The following is a 20,948-nucleotide window of genomic DNA, read 5'->3' on the forward strand; positions in this document are numbered from 1 at the left end:
ACAAATAAGTAATTATGTAGCTCTTGATAAGAACTGGGATTTTGGAGAGTGAGAGAAAGAAGATATAAATGGTAAAAGCCCTTCTTAGTCTTGAATTCCAACTGGAAGGATCAGTATGCACACACGATGTAATTATTTTATCTAACATAATCATGGGAATAGAATTAGCAAAACCCAAACTGGAAGCTCTAGGACAAACTACATAATTTATCCAACCAAAACAACTACAAAATCATAAGAAAAATAAAATGTAATGGAGGAGAGTCTCTATTGATTAAATGAGACTTAAAAGATATTTAACTAATTTCATTGTATGAATCCTGAGTTTTTTTAAGTTGTGGAGAAAGAGAAAGCATGTGAGAAAAAGGGAGCATTCCTAAGACAATTAAGGAAATGTGAAGACTAATTGGATATCTGATGTTTTTATGGAATTTCTGTCAATTTTGAGGATATGATTATTGTCTGTTGTGTGTATTGTGGTTACATTGTAATAGCATAGTCCTTGTCTTTTACAAATGCATCCTGAAATATTTACATATGAAATTATATTAATGATATAACATGGCTGGGATTTGCCTAGTATCATCCAGGGAAGGGGGAAGAAGAAGAGCCACAGAAAAATGCAATTGGTCATAAGCTGAACATTGTCAAAATGTAGTGACAGATATAAGGGAGATCAACATATTATTTGTCTACTTTTGTACATGTTGAAAATTTTTTTAACAAAATTTGTTTTAATATTAAAATTCCTACACTCCCATGCCTGCTAGATTTTGCTTCCTCTAAGTTTTTTCAATATAAGCATATTTTTTACTAAGTTTCTATGGGTTTTTTTTTTACTACCATCATCATCTACTAAAAGTCATTTACTAAGTATCTCATATGTGGGCCTCGATTTAACAAAATTCACATGTCGCCAAAGCGTAGACATAAAACTACATGGAATTAGAAAGAAAATCAACTTAATAGAGTCACTTTGTAGACCAAAAGACCTGGGCAGCTTCTAACGAAATGCTTAATTAGGAACCACAAACCTTCCCAAACAATAAGCAATCAGAACTTCTTAAAAAGCCACCCCTGTAAAACAGTTATTGCTGCTGTATAACATAATATAGGCCCACCTGGAAAGATTCTTTAAAACATCTGGAGTCCAAATACATCTGCTACAGGTGAGCAAACAAAGCCTCCATAAAGCCACAGAACAGACAAAATAAGCTGATTGACCAGAGGGGCACATTTATGAATAGCCCATTAGGAAGAGGGATACACAGCACTTCTATCCACGGCACATTCTCAAGAAAAGGAAGCCACATAGAAGTACAATGAAGCATCAGTCAAAACCATCCTCATTTGCATTTGGTGCAAAATAAACTTTCCCAATTCAGACAGACAGCAAATATTTAACAAGGAAAGAAGAGAAGCAGGTGCAGTATTTGAGCAATTGGAAACGACTCCTGGCATCATTGAGAGAGTCATCGGTGGGACATTTAGGTCAGTGACCTCCAGACACAACTAGTGCTTTTGATCTTTATAAAAAATAGAAGGTATTTTAAGAGGGGAATCATCCTTGCTCCCCAGCCCCAGAGTTCCAACCAAATAAAAACACATGGCAAGGCGGTGGTGAAAAACCTCAGCCATCAGTCAAAGTAAGTAACACAAGTAAAGCCTGAAAAGTGGTTGAATTCGGACTTCAGGTGAGATCAACAAGGTGTTGATTTTTGGAGTTTCTAGTTGATGTCCTCAAAGCTTCAAGACACTTAAGGAGCAGCTTTCTGAGTGGCTGTAAGCCAATATCTTCGTAAATGTGTCCACCATGCCATCTGCGCCAGAACCACCCTGAGGTGTTGCTGAATGCGGACCTCCTAAATTAAAATGGCAAGTGTGACTAAGGACTCCAAATTTTTAAGCCCCCTAGCTGGTATGTATGCCCACTCAAATTTGAGAACCATTGTACAAATTGGAGAACCAGGCCCGAACAGTGAAGGTTATCAGAAGATCTCAAAATGCCCCACAGCAGAAGCAAATGCTTATTATTTTTGCTTTACATAAAGTGCAAGTAAAATCATTTTTAAATTGCCTGTCTCATGTCTACAAAACTTGGCAGGAGGATGGAGGTAAGGGTTGGAGGATATTCAGTGTCAGAGATTTTAACTCTGGCTAGAATTCTTATTTTTTTACTCTTTTGAGTTATATAGGTTTAGTGTTCATGAAAAAAAAAAAAGAATTAGCTTCATGACGGAAGAGACTGACCCATTATTTTTGTTGATTACCTATGGTATAGAGTATATTTAGGCATCTAGGACAAAGACATATTCGTGTTGCCTACTATGTATGGAAAGCAAATCTCGAGCAAAAGCTTAGAGCTGGGTTCAAATTCCACTTATCAGCTGTGACTTTAGCTCATTCACCTAACCTTTCTAACCATGTTCTTCATATTTAAACTGAGAACAATGATAATGTCTCCCAGGATACTGGGAGGATCAAATGGAGTACTACGTCTTAATTCATTCAAGCTGCTTTAATAAAATACCTTAGTCTGGTTTCCTGATAAACAATAGAAATTTATTTCTCACAGTTCTGGGGGTTGGGAAGTCCAAGATCAAGGCTGAGATCGATTCCATGTCTGGCAAGGGTCCACTTCCTCATAGACAGCCATCTTCTCACTCTAACTTCACACAGTGCAAGGGGTTAAGGGTCTTAGTCCCTTTTATAAAGGTATTAATCCCATTCATGAGTGCTCTGCCCCCATGACCTAATCACCTTCCAAAGGCCCCACCTCCTAATACCATCACTGTGGGGGTAAGGATTTCAACATATGAATTTGGGGGAACATAAACATTCCGACAACAGCCTAGTGTATGTTTTTAAAAAGCCTTTTGAAATCTTCTGTGCAAAAATTGAGCATAAATTGTTATAATTATTTATTTGCCCAACAGCATTCAGCCATGTAACCACTACCGAGCACCTACTAGATGCAGACACTACACTGGTAGACACTGGGCTATTACCATGGTATTACCTGGGCTGTTACCATGGCATTATTATGCAAATAGAACAAACATAATACTTACATGACTACGACAGGTAGGGAGGGGTTCTGCCTGTAAAAGGAGTCTTTGAAAAGGGAACTGGGGAGAATTATTGAGCAGGGAGTGGGACACACTAAAAATTATTTGTTGTATATACTACGGGGAGGACAGTCAATACAGGATAATCAGTCAACTGAAATCCCTTACTGTAGGACTCTGAGAATTCTATGAGAAATTCTGGGCCAAGATCTCTACTTGTAGAGACTTGTAGGGATGCAGCTTTGAAATTAGCAAGCAGTTAGAAGAGATGATGGAGTATATTTCTCTCTCTGATTTAGCAATTTAAAAGAAATCAACCACTCTCTCCCCATCAGTTCTCAATTGGCAGATTTTGCTAGACTTGTCAAAAACTGACTGAGCAGTATTTCTATTTATCAGGAAGCAATCAATGTGAGTAGTGTGACTTTCCTGTTGCTCTCCATCAGTAAATGGACATAACTCAGCTGGGAGGACTCCAAGGTGCCAGTGAGGGCACCTGTCTGCCCCCTCTCTGTACCTAATTTTTTTTTTTTTTTTTTAGACAGTCTTACTCTGTTGCCAGGCCTGGAGTGCAGTGGCGTGATCTCGGCTCACTGCAACCTCCACCTCCTGGGTTCAACCGATTCTCATGCGTCAGTCTCCCGAGTAGCTGGGGTTACAAGCCTGTGCTATCACACCCGGCTAATTTTTGTATTTTTAGTAGAGTCAGGGTTTCACCATGTTGGCCAGGCTGGTCTCAAACTCCTGACCTCGTGATCTGCCCGCCTTGGCCTCCCAAAGTGCTGGGATTACAGGCGTGAGCCACCGCGCCTGGCCAACCCTCTCTGTATCTTGTCTCTACCCTTCCTCTGCCCCTTCCTGAAAGCCCTGTATTCCGAGTCTCTCCCAGCAGAAGGAGAACACTGATAAATCACTAACACGATTTTGATTTTAGTTATGTGTTACCCCCATAATGCTGTGTGCACTTTTAAAGAGGAAACCCAAAGAATATATTCCTGATGATGGTTTCAGGCAGGAATGTCTAGGAGCAGGAGAGAGATCATTTTGGGTCTGCCAATCACATCTGTGGGTGCCTCTGCCTCCAAGCCTACACCTCTCTGCCATGCTGTTGCCCATTTCACTCTCTGGCCATGCTTAGTGCTCAGCCACTCTCAAGTGCCACACAGCGGTGCATGGCTCTGCCATTGTTGGTGTCTGGAGTAACAGCTGTGGTCATTTCTTTCTTCGGGGAGAGCCAAAACTCACCCTCTTCCCTGGGCACTCCTCACCTCTGCTCCTCAGTCATTTCCTAATCAAGAACAACTTTTAGTTTCCTAAAATTATTAAGAATGTCATAAAGGATCGGGCTGGCATGCAGAAGGGAAGCACTGAGAGTATAAGTCCTTGTCTGGGACAATAGCCAAAGATTTTCCCTTGGGCATTTCCCTAATTCCCTTATTTTTTTTCATAGCTTCCTCAAATCCCACCTCCTCAGGGTCTCCATCCTGAACAACCCTGTTGAAAACCACACCTCCTCCTCACCTCATGCCCACACTCTCCCTTTTCTTCCTACCATAACATTTATCACCATCTAAGATGCTATAAAATCTACTTACTTACTTCACCTATGGTTTGCTTGTTTCTTCTTCCACTGATTGTAAGCTTCTTGGTGTCAGGAATATTTAGTTTGTTTACCAATGTACGCCAAGTGCCTAGAAGTGTGCCTGATGCTCCATAAATACTTGTTGAATGAATATATGTTATCAATGGCTAATCAGTGTATTTAAGAAGCCCAGTTGTTAACTGAAGGAGAGGTAAAAGGGAAAGAAGGACCTACTCTCTGCTAGGCCCTGCACAGGCATTTATATTTATTAACACAGTACTGCTCATTCCTCACAGAGGTTCGAAAACACAGACCTTTAACCAACAAGTCTCAACCTAACAGTCCATGCTAAAGCCCAGCCTGGGTGGCATTCAATAGGAGAGGTAGAATTTACCTTGTTCCCAAGACTTCTGGAAATTCCTACAGGGAAAAAGAAATACTGCCTGGTCAAGGACTTACGTCCCATGTGATTCCCTTCACCACTTCATCCCCAGTTCATTACAAAAATGTTAAGGATTTTTAGAAACTAAAAGTAGCTCTTCATCAGGAAGCACTAGGGAGTTGCCAAACACCCCACTGAGGACTCTGCGCCAGACCACAGACACAACTCATGCCATAAAAGTAGATAAATCAAACCCATGTGTGGGCTATTAAAATTGCATTAAAATATATATATGAGCAAATGTAGCCCATGAGATGGGAGCTGGCTGCTGGAAAAATCACTGGCCCAGAACAAGGGGTTTGGCCGTTGCATCTCACCAGGCCTTCACCAGCCCCCATCGCTCAAATCCTGCTTGTCTCCCAAAGTCTAAAATGATAGCATCGGCATTTTGCATCCTCTGTCTACTGAGATGGAAGCCTCTCGTGGAAAAAATTCTGGAAAGGCATACACCAGCTCATTCACAGCAGCTACCTCTCGGGAGGAAATTGTAGGGGAAAGCAGGAGATACTTTTAAATTCATGCACTTTGGGATTTTATAATCTGTCAAAACAAGCATGTATTACTTTTGTAATTTAAGAAGTCAATCATGAGTCTTTTGTTAAGGGTTCTGTGGAGGATAAAAGTAGGTTCCTCAGACAGATGACTATATGGAAATTCTCAATGACAGACAATTGCAGCTTGCTCCAGTGGGAAGCAAGGAAAAACAGGAATCTCATCCAGCTGGTCGTCACCAATGCCACGTCTTCTCAGGACCCAGCGTTCAGCCTCTCAGAGGGGGCTTCACACCTGGGCTTCTCTTGTGTTCCTTTAGCCTCGATGGAGCAAGTGTTCGCTTCATCAACATTCTGCTCCGGAAGGCGGTCTGCAGTGTTCCCTGCAAGACTGCCTGCCTGAGACCAGGGCCACTCCCAGACTATTTCAAACGATCCCTTGTTTGCCTGATGCCCAGGGTCCCGCTGAACAAATTGGTTTAAACCCTCGAGCCCTGTTCCAAAGGGGATACAGCAAAGGGATTTATGAGAAGTCATGTCTGCAGACAAGAGGAAAATATTGGGTAATCAGAGCAGTCTTGCAGAGGCTGGCGGTGGTAACTAGACGTCCGCTCTGAGGCAAGGCAGAGAACTGGGTCATGTTACCTGGACTCCATGGCACCACAGTGGGTCCCATTCACAAAACCACACCCCATGGCCCAGAGCCGGTAGAGGCTCCATGCCAAGGGCATCTTTTCCAAAATGTGGCAACTCAGATGTGTAATCAGAAAGAGTCTACATTTCCCTGTGGTCAGTGTCTGTGACTAAAAGTGAGGCAAGGCTGGCATTGCACAATGACTTTTAGAGTTGGAAGGGACTGTGGGTGGATCTAGAGGGTGATTTCAGACTGGACTTCACAGAGCCCCCAGGGTCAGAGCCAGCATCTCAGGACACAAGGGTGAAGCTAACGGGGTCTCTGAGATGCCCGCTCTGTATTTATCAAGAGTGGTTTACCATTGATCCATGTTATATTTGGCTTCTTCTGTAAATGCCAGGCAGCTTTGTGGTCCAATCTTGGTGTGGAGTCACATTCAAAGAAACAGCTGTCATTCAAAAAATATATAATCTAAAGCAATTCAAATCTATACTCAGTCTCTAAAGAAAAAGCCCAAGGGGTGAAGAGTGCATTTAATGCACACCAAGATATCTTTAAAATCCATTACTCCCAATTGCTGCCATTCTCAATCTCCTTCATCCAGATGGCAGGTGCTTCCTGAAATCTTATGTTCCTTCTTACTTTCACAGCCAGAACAAAAACTTTCCACGACAACCAACCTGTGAGGTTCCTCCACCTCTCTTTCCTCCCTTGTCTGGCTCAGTTCCCCTTTATGTAGCTCAACTTAGCCTGTCTGACTTCACCAGTTGAGTTTTTATTTTCCCGTTGTTTGCCCTGAGTCTGCCCCACACAGCAAAGCCCAGGTGCTGCTGTAGCCCATATGAACTCTTGGTAGGCAGGGAAAATGAAAGAAGTCTGTGAATCCTAATACGGTAGTCATTTCTACCTCATTGCATTGAAGTCCCACAGAAAAAAATCATTTGTAAAAGGATATCACTAATCTAATCTTCCTAATTGGCATCTCTGAGAAAATTCTAACTGGTAATCATTCTGCCTCTACACCCCCAGTGACAAGGAGGGCATTACTTTACAAAGCAACATGCATACGTGTTAGCCAGGTTTCATTTTTTTCAAGTTCTTCCCTGGCCAATTTTTCATAAGGTTTGAGGTCTGGCCAAAAGTCCTTCTGCTTAAAAATATTTCTTTCTGTCAATCAGAAGAAATGTCTCAATGTCTGAGATTCCCACATTGTGTTCTCAAGGACTAGTTAAATATAAATATATTTTCTAAAACAAGTAAACTCTTCAGTCACTAACACCAGCCTTATTCTTTGAATTTATTTCTCACGTTAGCTAGCCAGGCAACCAGTGATACCTCGAGACCTTGGGTTAGGAGTGAAGAAGGAAAAACTTCCAAAGTATGAAGTGACCAGGAGGCAAGGCCCAGAGAGAGTCACAACGAAGTGGGAGGAGGGGCTAGAGCCTGAAGAAAGGGCAGATTCAAAGACAGACAGTGATGGAGACCCCTGCCCAACCCACAGCCCTCAGAGGAACAGGCCTTGAACCACCAGACACAGCCATCCCAGAAGCCTTGAGCTGTCACTGTCAGTGGACACTGTGGTCCCAGACGTATTTTTGGAATGATGTATCCCCTGAGGGCACATCCTCAACAAACACTCCTGACACAGAAAACTCACTAACTCCTCTCTGGTTTAATGACCCCACTGGAACTTATCACTTGATTCCAAATACCTCACCTATCCTGTCACCCAGCTCTCTTCTATCCCAAACCTCACCCTCTCCAAGCCTACCCAACTGCTACCCTTTCGTCTCCTGGAGGGGAAAAGAACCTGTTTCCCAACCCAGCGTAATGTGTTCCCATGATCCAGCAAGCTCTGGCCCTCCAAAGCCTCTCCCCACAACAAGCCTTTTTCTTCTCCCACTTGCCTCCAACTGTCAATTATTAGCTGTGTTTCCAGCCTCTGAAGGAGTTTAGCTACTTCACAGTTTCACCCAGGGACACCTTTCCTGCCTAATATTGCAAAACCACGCTGTGGAATACTTGCCTTCTCAGGGCTCTCTAAATACTGTCTCTAAATACAGAGGGTATTGTGAGAATCTACCAAATAGAGGTTCCCCTGATATGTGTTCAACATTAACACCAATGGCAATAGCAATGACAAATATATTGCAGACGAATGCTCAGTATGGACCTGTCCTAGAGCCCAATCCAACCCCAGTGGAAGTGGGCATTTATTGCTTGTGTCAAATTCACACTCACTCTCTTCTGATTTGCCTTTTGGAATTTTCATTCAAATCACTTGTCCCTCTCCTGGCCAGAAATGGGTTCACGGCACAGTGAGGCCACCTCTCTTCCCCAGGAATTTGCATCTTGAGCTGACAGACCCAAAACTGGAACTAACAGGAGCAAATTCCTCCAGAAGGCTGTGCCTTACAGAGACTGGACAATTGTTTGAGCTCCAGAAGGCTGTGCCCTACAGAGACTGGACAATTGTTTGAGAGGCAACATGTGGCACCACATGAGTACTAGAACCAGCTGGCCCAAGACTGAACATGGCTCTACTATTTATTGTCCATGTGACTGTGGATTACTTAGGTTTACTTCTCTCTGCCTCATTTTTTTCTGCAGAAAAGCAATATGCACTGCCCATTGGGGTCTTCTTAGGTTCAAATAAACATTAAGACTCACAAGACAGCAATAAGCACCAAAAGCTCCACATTTGGCATCAGTTTATTGAGAAGCATATCAGATGTTCTTCAGCACAAGAGTCCTTTCAATAGTCCACACAATAAAAATTAGGCTTAAGATCCACATCAGGTGGGAATTGCTCCAGATTAAAAACCTCATGACCTCTCCTCCCCCTTCACCCTCTTCTTCTCCAATAGCTGGTAGTTCTTGCAACAATTCCAGAGGCATAGCTTTCAGGTCCTCCCATAAGGACATGTAAGTTGTAAAAGTCAGAGAAGCCCAAAACTACAGCTTCCTAACAGGTATTTATAGTTCTGTCAGTCTAGGAGCAATTTCCCAATCAAGGGTCATTTTTACCATGAGCAATGTCTCCTAGCATCATGGTTGACACATAGCATCATAACTGGTTTCCAGAGAACAGGCAGTTAACGAAAGGTCAATTAGGTTTTGTAACTCTTTTACCCACAGCATAACAAGTATACCCAACTTATAGCACTGTATCAAGAAGCAGATGAATTAGTGCATGCCAAGGGCTTAGAACAAGGGCTGGAACATAGGAAGCTCTCAATAAATGTTAGTTATTGTTATTGGATATTTCTGGGATAGTCTGTATTTTCTCTGCCTTACAAGATCTGATGATCCAGTTATTTCTTCAGTTCTCTTAGCTACCACCAATCCTTCCAGTAAACTGAACCTTTGCTTACGTTGATCAGTACCTTTCTACTACAATTTATCAATTTGAATTACCTTGGAGTAGCCAGAGGAGAAAGAACCCATCTGAACCAGGTAGTCTAAACCTACCTGACTATAGGACTTTTGCTGAAGCTCAGATTTCTCAAGTTACTGAGAGTCTGAAAACTTCCAACATCCCACTGGCCCAGAGTGACAAGTGACCTGAAGCCTATGTGGCTTCCAGCCCAGAGCCTTCGGTGACTGCCATCAAGGAAGAAGCCCTGTTGCTCCACTTACTTCACTCTGTGATTTTAGGTTGCTGTGTTTATTAGCGACTTGTGGGAAGAATGTTGTCAGTGTACACAGGTTCAAGTAGAGAGTGGTCTCAGAGAAGCAGCTAATTAGGGAGCAGGGTGTCAAACTCAAGTAAACAAGACAGGGATGCTTTTATCCTTGTATGATCCTTGGCCAGAGCAAAGACCTCAAGCCAGGGAGGAGCAGGTTATGGTAAATCTGTGCCTAAAGGGGAATCACTACAAATGGCATATTCATTTCTTTCTTCTGCTATTGGTGAATGGGAATGATGGTATCAGCAAATTTTGTTCCCCTTCATTTCACTGAGGTAACTGTCTGGTGTTGAAACAGGATGACTCACTTTAAAGCATTTCTCCTCCCGTCTCCTTCTTAGGGTCATGGTGTCTGGTTTTCTGAATTGATAGTTCCTTTCCTTGTCCCAGTTCCCCCAAGTCCCCTGCCTCCAGCACGCTGGGTCTGGCCTGGCTTCCACCTTTCTGCCTCCGACACTCCGACTAAAGCGTTCAGAGCAAGGAACCAAGGTGGCTTTTCTTGGTTTTCTTGTCCTGGAGCCTGGTAGAGTGATTGGAACTGTACTCCTTGCTAAAGTGAGTCTTCATGCACTGGGTCTAAGGAACATTGCCTGGGAAGATGACTTCTTCAGAATAGAGGAGAGGGTAAATGGATACAAAACATAAGCAAATGTCCTGATACAGGCTGAGACTTCCACTGCCATCTTTCCCTCCAGAAGCGAGGCAATGCAGTCCAGCCCCCGGTGCCTCCCAGTGGGCTCAGGCTTCTTTGTGCTACTGTCCTACCTGATATAGACTAGTCATTGTCTTCATAGATGACCATTACCTGTGCTATTAGTTACCTATTTTACTTCAAATTATTCCGCTCTTTTTCTTTTCCTTAAATGCCTATTTTACTCTAAGTTCAAAATATCCAATGCAATCATAAGTTCCATGTATTTTGTATTTCCTTAATAAACACCTATAGAACTCTCATAATGTAACCAAATATTAACTCATTACAAATATTAACTCATTGAATCTTTGCAATAACCCTGTGAGGTAGGGCTACTATTATCCCCAATTTACAGATTAGGAAATTGAGACTTAAACTAATGAGGAAATAATCATATCATAAGTCATAAATTGGAATTAGAATCCAGGTAGGATGGCTCTGGAACTTGAGTTTAGCCTGAGTTCACCTGAGTTAACCCCTATGCTATTCTTCTTGTCCCCCTTTTAAATTAGATTAAAATAAAAGCCTAAATATTAAAATGTTTCTATTTCCATTCATGCATTACCTGAAATTATCTCATGTCCTACCAGTGGCATATACCACACTTTGAGAAACACCAGTTGAGTAAAAGGAGCTGTGAACTTAGACTTAACTTCAGTTTCTTTCTCACTATTTACTGGCTGTGCGCCCTTGAGCAAATTTCTCAAGCCGTCTAAGCCTCGGTTTCCCCACGGGTTTACTAGTGACAATAATCCCTACGCCTCCCATGGGTGGTTGGAGAGACTAAGGCAATCATACCATGGAAACTGCTTTGGGAAATACTGTCACCACAAGTCAACATTATCCCCTCTGATGATGAATAACCACTTAAAATTAAGGAAGCAATGCCCCTAGTTTTCATTACAAGCAGCCCTTGCTGGTTGGAAAATCTTTCCAATAAAAAGTAGATCCTTATGTTCCTTTGTGCTAGATATTGTTGCTGTTGCCACCAATCCAAAGTAAATTACTGCATGAAGTAAGGTCTGTTTATACTATTCCAGTACCTGATGACTTCCTATGCAGAACATTCAATGTGAGCATCTCAGCCAAAGGCCCATAAAGCCATTTCCCCCACACTTTACACTTAGGTGTGCTAAACATCTGCTTTTCTTGGCCACCTGAGTTGACGAGTTTCACTTTGCACCACAGTGAGGTCCAGGTGTCAAGCAAGGACTCAGACAGTTTCTTCCCTCCATGCCTCAAGAGGGGTCTGAGTTTATAGCCCTATTTCCCCTGCAAGAGCTAGTGGTGAGGAAACCCCGCAGCTGGGCGTCATTACACTCAATCAATGGCCACGACTTTTTTTTTCAAGGTAGCAGGCAGGGCCGAAGGTTGCATTCTCAAATTTTCAGCCAGGTTGAAGCTGTGGCCATCTGGAAAGATGGGTATGAATATAAACCTTGATGAGGGATCTTTTGTTTTGCCTTTTTGGGAGCTCCTCCAACGTGAAAACGCCTCGAGTCCTTACCCTGGGGGTAATGTGTTTTCTTGACTGATCCTGTGAGTGTGGGCAAGCATCTAATCTCAGCTTATTTCTGCTTCTCTTCGTTATCAATTTAAAATGAGAATAAATAACATAATGCTTGTACAGTGTTTTGATATCCTTGCAGGAACAGTAATCCGTAATACATAAGTGAAACCCTTACAATGGAGATGGCTTTCGGGGACTCTTACCTGATTCTAACACCCTTCAGTGTCAGAGGATGTCTTTTGAGCCCTGTACCACTTTTCACCTTGGAGAATACATCTCATGTAAGAGATAACATTATCTGATAACTGGCTATTGTGAGAGGAAAGGCAAGATAAATAAACACCTCCTGATGCAGAGGAAGCATCTCCTGAATCCCACATGGCTTATCTCTGTACCTCTGCTGGCCAAACCAGAGTCTCCTAACATGGGAAGAAAGCAACTCTTTTCCTGAAACAATACAGGCTGTATTTTGGAGACCAGATCTCATCAAGGAAATGATTCAAAATCTGTTGCAACTGCACCAATATACTGATAGCCCAAGTGTTGCCCTTCACTGCTTTTGTATTTAATAACATGGGGGTTTTTCAAGGCTCAGTAACACCTCAGAGCATGACAGTAAAAATGGAAAATGGACCAAAAGCATAAGTTTACGTTCTTTCTGAAAGGAGATTTGCACATGCGGTCCTGTTTGACATATCTCTGTGCTTATAGTCCAGTCCTGCCAGTAGTTTTCCTAAGCTACCTCCACTGCCTATTGAACAGGCATAGATCACTTTTTAAACAGTGGTCATGGTTGTCTCTAAATAGCCATATTCACGTGGCTACTTGGGATTTTTCCCTTCAACCATTCCTTTAATGCAGAGATGTATTTAAACACCTGTATTTTAAAGATGGGCTTTACAATGTTGAAGTGGTGTCATCTGGGGTAAATACCTGAAGTTCATTGTCTCAGGCCAAGAGAATCAAGCATACCGACGCAAGAAGTGGGTTTAGGAGCAGAGGTTTAATAAGCAAAAGAAAGAGAAAGGAGAACAGCTCTCTCTCCTGGGACAGAGGGGGCACCCCAATGGGACTTCTGACCCATAGCGGAGCACACCAGATTTTACCGACAGGCTTGAGGAAGCGGTGTCTGATTTAAATAGGGCCCAAAGATTGGTTGGGCCAGGTGTGATGTTTACATAATGCACGGGGAAACTGGCTGCCCCACCCTAATCTTATTATGCAAATGAGGTTTTTGCCTGGCCTGCGCCATGTCGCCTGCTTCTTACTGTACACGTGGCTGGCAAAGAGAAGAGGAGATGGAACCAGCATTTTGAACACACCTAGTCCCACATAGCCTTTTCGTATTGGCACAATTGCCGGCATTCACCCATGCAAGCTTCCAGCTTGCTTGTCTATGTCTGCAGCTTGATTTTACAGGCTGCTCTTTGTTAGAAAAGAAAATGATGTGGGGGCTGCCTTTTATTCAAAAGAAAACCTTACCGAGGACTCTCATACACTCACCATCTGCCTAAATAATTCCTTTTTAACTCCTATATCATTGTTCCCTGTCCATCCACATCTCCCAAAGCCATCATCTTTGATACTGTGCTCTGTGTTCCCAAGCTAATGGAACCAGACATCTTCCTGTGCCTCAAACCTTCAGCCTTATGATAACCATGACACCTCCATTATAAGCAAGAAAACCCAGACATGTAAAGGTCATAAACCTAGGGGTGGTTGACCCAGGGTTTACACCTGGCTGACATCCGAGTCCTGTATCCCCTCTATTAAACAAACCAAATTCTCTTACCTCCGCTCTGAGCTATCTCAATGGGCATAACTAATTGCCCACTTCCCTTTATCAGCAGTGTCCTCCCTTCTTTCCTCTCATACCTGGGAGCCCAGCCTCTCTGAGCTGCACCACAACCTTTTTCCTCTGAGTCTTGTATTTTCTCTTTTCCAATGACTCTCCTTTCCTATCCTCCTTTCCTTCTCTTTTCCTATCATAGCCAAATTCCTGAAAAGCCAACTATACTCTTCCCATTGCTCAATTCCAATCTGCTCCTCACTCCCTTGGAATTGACCACCAAAAGGACAGCTTCAATTCACTGCTGGTCTATTCCTTTATTTTTTATCACATTCAGATTCCATTCAGGCCTCAGGCAAACAAGTATATGCTGATGTTCATGCAATTGTGTATGCCATAAAGAGATTTATATCCAGATATACACTTTTGTCCACAAATATTTCAAAGCATCTTACTAACAATTCTTCCAGGTCTTTTGTTTTCCTTTTAATTGCTGAACAATTTAAGCTACCTGGAAGTAAGAACTATGTCCTCTTGCTTTCAGTAGTGGGACTTAGGACAATTGTATAATTAAATTAGAATCAAATATTAGATTAAATTCAAGCCATTTCTACCAAATCAAATCAACTGCATTTATTCTGTTAATACTGCAGCTCCCGTAACTTCAGACAACAGGAACAGTATGTAAGAAGAGCTGCATTATCTAGGTAACAACTTGTTTTTTGAAAGTTGCTAATATTACATAAAAACCCCACTTTGGATAGATGGAAGAGAGAGACAGAAAGAAGAAATTAAATTGTTGTTAGCTCTATCAAAAACCTGGACTGTGTGAGCAGGAGTTTAAGGGAAAAACAACTTTGAGGCATTGCTGGTGTGAGTGTGAAGAATATGTGGCCCCAAATACGCCACTTTGGCATAGAGAATATTCTGAGCTAAAGACAACTGAGAACCAGCAGATACAGAAAAACCTCTTTATCCCCCGTCAAAATGCCTAAAAACAGTGTATAAATTTCTCCTTGCATAAAGGAAATATACATTTTTAAAGGAATTTCCATTTGTAAAGATGTCTCTTAACCAGGAAGAGAGCTATTTCCAGAGACAATTCTTATCACATGAGAGACTCTTATCTGAATAAAAGATGATCTTTATTTACCAAACATTTTCTCTCCTTGAAACCGCCTTTGCAAAATTATAACCAAGGAAATTATGACAGTGAAAGAAATCAGACCTTACCAACTCCATCTTGCTTCTAACTTTTAAGCTGTTCTTGTTCATTCCTGGCACAGGCCGAACTAACTTTGGGAAGAAATTCAGTTCATGGTTTGACTTTGAAACAAAATTGATAAAAGTCTTTTCCCGAAAAGACCCCCTTCTTGCCTGGGGACCAGTCTGCCTTTGCAGTACTAACCAATCAGCTACAAGATTAGAATTTACAGTTTAGGGTCCAAGAGTATGAACCTTCCCAAATTGCCCCTGGGGATAACATCACTGTTATAAAACCTAAGATCAGTGCTTAAGATATTTTTCAGACCCTGCACTTGATGGATCAGCTGACACCACCCAGATTGGTAATCTGGCTCAACCATCACCCAGAAACAGAAAACAGCAAGAAAAACTCACTTCAGCCCCCTACGATTCCATCTCCAACCTGACCAGTCGGCACTACCCACTTCCAAAGCCCCCTACTCACCAAATTATCTTTAAAAACTCTGAACTCCAAACACTTGGGGAGACTCATATGAGTAATAATAAAACTCCGGTGGCTCTGTGTGAATTACTCTTTCTCCACGGCAATTTCCCTGTGTTGATAAATCAGCTATCTCTAGGCAGTGGGCAAAGTGAACCCACTGGGCGGTTACATCTTCACCTTTCCATAATTTGCTGCCCTGTCCAAAAGCCCCAAATCGTTTTTTCTTTGGTTACCCAAAAATAGTATATAAGCCTCCATCTTCTAGCCACCTCCTTGAGCCATCATTCTCTTTATGAACTCCCATGCATACATCTGTAATTAAAACCTTTTTCTCTTATCAATCTGTCTTTTATCAGTTTGATTCATGGGTCTTAGCCATAGAACCTAGATGGGTATACGGCAAACAATCTCTTTTCTCCCCTGCAAGTGTGAATTGGAGGAAATTTTGTCAATATATATCAAAATTAAAAATGTATATACTCTTTGACACAGAAATTCTACTCTTTTGGAACTGATCCCACAGATTTATTTATATTTATGTAAAAAGAAATGTGTATTAAAATATTCACTGTGGCATTAAAAAATGAGACAAACATAGGAAATGCTATTCAAGATATGTAAAAAAGCAAAGTGCTGAACAGTATGTATAATATGCTAATAGTTATGAGGGTAGGGAAACACACAAATACATATATGCACACATGTACTTACATAAGTGTGTGTATCAAAAAGATGATAGATCCATAAACACACACATACACATTTGAATTTGGAAAGACTGCCTCTGGTAGCTTATACCAGAAAATACCCTCAGCTATTGTCTTTGAGAAGAAGAATTAGGGGTTGGGGATGGAAATTTACTTTTCCTCTACATTTCTATGTGCTAACTTAAAAGTTTTGCCCTGTGCAAGTAAGTATAAGAGAGGAAAAATAATTTCCTCTCTACCCTCCATGGTTCTTAGCTGGGATTCCCTGCAGCAAAAGACAGATTAACAAGAGAAAAATAAACAGAAGTTTATTAATATGTATACCTCCTGTATACACGAGCAATAACTTTGGGAAATCTCAAAGATTAAATCTCAAGGCTAGATAAAGAATTGTCTTAGACTTCAGACTTAAATACTATTGTCCCCTGAAACAAAGAAAGAGGAGTGTGGAGAAAGACATGGTTATGGGGAGGTGTTCAGGAAAAGTGCAATAAACAAGAACCAGGTTTATTTTGCAGATGTAAGTCCACACTTTCTCCATTGATAAGAGTCTCTAGTGATTCAGTCAGCCCTATCTTCCTGGTATGGAGAGGGAGATATCCTTAAAAGTGAAGATTTCCTTCATAGGTATAAATTTCTCTTACAAAAGGGTAACTTCTGTTTTCAAAGTGTCTGCTGTGTCTGCAGGTTCTCAAAATAACCAGCTCAAAATAATCCTTATGCCAAAGAGGCATATTTTGGGATGACTTGGGGTAATGTGTTCTGAACCCTATTAAAGTATTTTTTAAATTATTTTTAAAGAAAAATAATTTGCTTAAAGATGGGGTGAATTTGAATCCCTTTTTTCCCCCAGTTTAAAGAGTTACCGTAAGATTTGAGAGGTATGGGTGGACCCGCTCTGAATTGAGATATTTCAGCCACTGATTTAGGATGAAAGAGGGTTTTCTCTTGCCTCCCACTGGTTTTGTGTTTCACTGTTTTCAGAACATTAAATGAAGTGTTACCATGAAGAAGGCACAAATTACTTAATCCTCACACAAGAGCCAGTCTCATTAGCTCACACTCACACCTCTTAGGTCATACCATGGCCATCAATTATACCCGGCTGATGCTGCAAGGGACAATCTCACTGCTCTGTGACATATTTTTCTGTCTTACAGATTCTAGGTCTCAAAATATAAGGAATGACCTCACGAGTCACAGCCCAGTTGTTCCTATATGTAGTTAGAAGGAGATATCTGAAGGTTGGTACACTGTTAATATTATTCAATCATTTCAGCTCTCTTCTCAACCTCTCTATTCTCAACACTCAATTTCAAGTTTATGGCACCACTGCGATTCTAGCCCTTCCATTTCCCACTCGGAATTTCTGTGCTATCGTCCCTCAGGAGCTCCTTGGATCTGGCATCCTCTCTACCGTCAACCTCACACCCCAGGCAAGAAGGGGAAATCCCAGAGGCCATAATCCTCCAGCCATCTGGGAGGCACCCAGAAGACAACCATTAGCAGACACTCTGGGACTTCAGGCAGTTCTGCTCCTTGAAACAACTGTCACTGGAGAGGCGATTTTACAGCAGCCACTGTTGTCAAGTGGAAATACATTTTTAGTAATAAGAATAACAGCAATGGACGGATAAGCTGGCTCTTCTGGAACAACCATCCAGGGATATTCCAGCCTTACAGTTCTATCAGGTCAAGCAAAAGTTGATGTTTCTACCTCACCAGGGAGCACTTTAGCCCTTAATCTCTTTTACAAGCAGCAGAGGACTTGAAGACCAAATGACAGCCAGGGACCTGGCCATTGCCGGGTAGCCTAGGAATGTGCGACCACTAAGGAATTGAAGCCCTTCTCTGTGTCTCTGTTTTTCTCACTTGTCTTCTTTCCAGCTGTCCTATAGGTGTGGTAAATCTGAATGCACAATTCTCAAAAACCATAACTCCCACTTTTTCTAGGTGCCAAAGAGAATGTTAAAATATCTTCAATTATCCATTCTCTCATTTCAACTTCAGCTTCTAGTATTGATTAAGAAGTGGAGACCACCTCATCTGTCCTCCTCAATCTTATTCATGCACTACTGAGACGCACCTACAGGAGGAGAAACACTTCCAAGCACACGATGTGAATTTGTATCTTTACACACCTAACATACCGACTATTCCTGAATCCTTATCCAGTTTGAAAGAGAATACAATGCAAGTAAAACCTGAATTGATTTTAGCCTGATGTTTTCCCGTGGAACAGGGACTCATAAATCACTCCATATGTCAAACTCTGCCCTTCTTCCCCGATTCAGTAATCACTCTCTTAGTAACTTGGGAGATATAAACTAGACATTTGTATCTACCAGGGGTTCTATCTGGCTTATTTATTTAATTCAGCTGAGAATTTGGGGTGTTATGTTTCATTAATTCACCAATGACCTATTTTAAATCAACGATTCTGAGCCAACTTCTTTTTGAGATATTGGACTTGATATAAATACAATGCAGAAAGAAGTAATTCTCCATTCTGGGTTAACTTCATTATTGTGCTAAGTATTCCCATAAGAAAAAAAAATTATCATATGCTCTCAAGCTTCACAGACATATTTTTGTCTGTATGTTTACTCAGAAAGGAGATAAAGTCTACAGTTTCATTTTCATACTTTTACAGCAAGATCCTAACCCAATCCAAAAACCCCAGCTATTTTGCATTAAAGCTAAAATCATGAAAATTAGTTAGAATCACAAATTACGTCTGGCTTTCAAGCTATCTGTAATGCACAGATGTAATGTAGCAAACACGTTGTATTTTAAAAAAAAAAAAAACTTAAAGGTTTTAAAGGAAGGTTGGTGTCTTCTTCCTTTCTTTTCAGACCAAGTGCTAAGACTTGGAGTTCAGTTAACTACTATTATTCATAATGGAGTTTCAAAAATTCTAATGCAAGGAGAAGATAAACCTCTCCACCAATGTTTACTTACTGGAGAAAGCGCAAAAAAAAAAAAAAAAATGAGTATGCAGATAGAGCTTTGTGATTTAAAGCAATAGCTTGCACTAAATGCCCCCATCAAAAAGTAAATTCTCAGGAGTCACCTTTCAAATCCAAACCTGGAGGATGATTTTGTATTCACCACTAATGTCATCCATGATCTCGTGACTCAGAAATACTGAGCCACTTCAGGCACATTGGTTTTCCTAACTAAATATCCATGTCTCCATCTTTAAAAAGTTTAAATTCCTCTCATGCCTGTAATCCCAGCACTTTGGGAAACCGAGATGGGAGGATTGTTTGAGCACAGGAGTTTGAGACCAGCCTGAGCAACATAGCAAGACCCCATCTCTACAAAAATTTTTAAAAATTGGCTTGGCATGATGGTGCATGCCTGTAGTCCCAGCTACTGGGGAGGCTGAGGCAGGAGGATCGCTTGAGCCCAAGAGTTCAAGGCTGCAGTGAGCCATGATTGTGCTGCTGCACTCCAGCCTGGGTGATAGAGTGAGACCCTGTCTCAAAAAAAAAAAAAAAAAGTTTAAGTTTCTTTTCTGTTTTCACTACTCAACTTTAAATGGCCTCTTTTGGTCTGAGCTATGAGGTCAAAAAAAAACCAGTCAGAACTGAGTTTTCAGCTATACATATTTTTACATCCTTGCGACAATACTCTGATGAAAGTGTTAAAAGATAAAGTTAGCCACATTGAAATTTTATTTGAGCAGACAGCAATTCATGAATCAGGAAGCTCCAGATCGCAGGTGTTTTGGGCTCCACCAATAGGGCATGAGAGGAAGACTTTCATAGGGTGAAACTTTCATAGGGTGACTCTCAGAAGCAAGGTAAAGAAAATATAATTGGTTAAAATGGAGCAGAAGTTTAATTTGGACTATTCCAGTGGAAAGTCCCTAATTAGAAATTAATTGGCAGTTCTGGTTGGTTAAGCTTAAGTTTCATTCTCCTAGAATATGACCGTTTACGCTGACTTGGGTTTCCATTTGCTTACATAGTAGCCAGTCTAATAGCCTCCTAATTAATTATTTTAACAAAAAGAAAGAATACATGTTCTCAGAAAACCATTACTGTGGAGGTTTCTGAGTGCTCTCCTCTCATGATGTTCCTTTCACTTCAAAGACCTCCTCTCCATGTATCCAAGCCCTTTTTGCATTAAGCACTGTTCTGACAGACACTTCTTCTTTCCCTAATACCTAGCAGAGCCTACCCACAGGACCACTTAAAAAAAAAAAATTGTGGAAGAGGGATGCTATGCTTTTCTGCTCTTGAAGGAACTCCAAATTGTAACCTTTCAAGATTTTCATGTGCCCACAGGATGTAGCTCAAGTTAGAGCAGAGACTACACTAGATGCAACAACTTAGGTTAATATTTGGTCCAAAACTTAACTGTAACTGTTGTCTCAGAAGAGGTATACCTATGCACACCCTATGGCCACACAAAATGGACTTCTGCTCACCCTTCCCCCTTAACCTGAAAGCTACCCACTATAGATTACATGTTTGTCCCCCCAAGCCTCATATTAAAATTATCCCCATTGTGGGAGACAGAACCTAATAGGAAGTAGGAAGTGTTTGAGTCATGGGGATGGATTTTTTTTTTTGACCGAGTCTCGCTCTGTTGCCAGGCTAGAGTGAAGTGGTGTGGTCTCGGCTCACTGGAACCTCCGCCTC

The 20,948-nt window shown here is 41.5% G+C and overlaps 1 long non-coding RNA gene across 1 annotated transcript; it reads left to right on the forward strand.

Moving 5' to 3' along the window:
* Nucleotides 1-14,549: 14,549 nt before the first annotated feature.
* LOC105373870 (uncharacterized) lies at nt 14,550-17,771 on the forward strand. The gene is made up of 3 exons (XR_001739231.2): nt 14,550-14,606; nt 17,457-17,540; nt 17,685-17,771. It is a non-coding gene; the product is annotated as an uncharacterized LOC105373870 (long non-coding RNA).
* The last annotated feature ends 3,177 nt before the right edge of the window (nt 17,772-20,948 follow it).

This window comes from Homo sapiens, chromosome 2 (assembly GCF_000001405.40).
Source record: "Homo sapiens chromosome 2, GRCh38.p14 Primary Assembly".
NCBI classification, from domain to species: domain Eukaryota; kingdom Metazoa; phylum Chordata; class Mammalia; order Primates; family Hominidae; genus Homo; species Homo sapiens.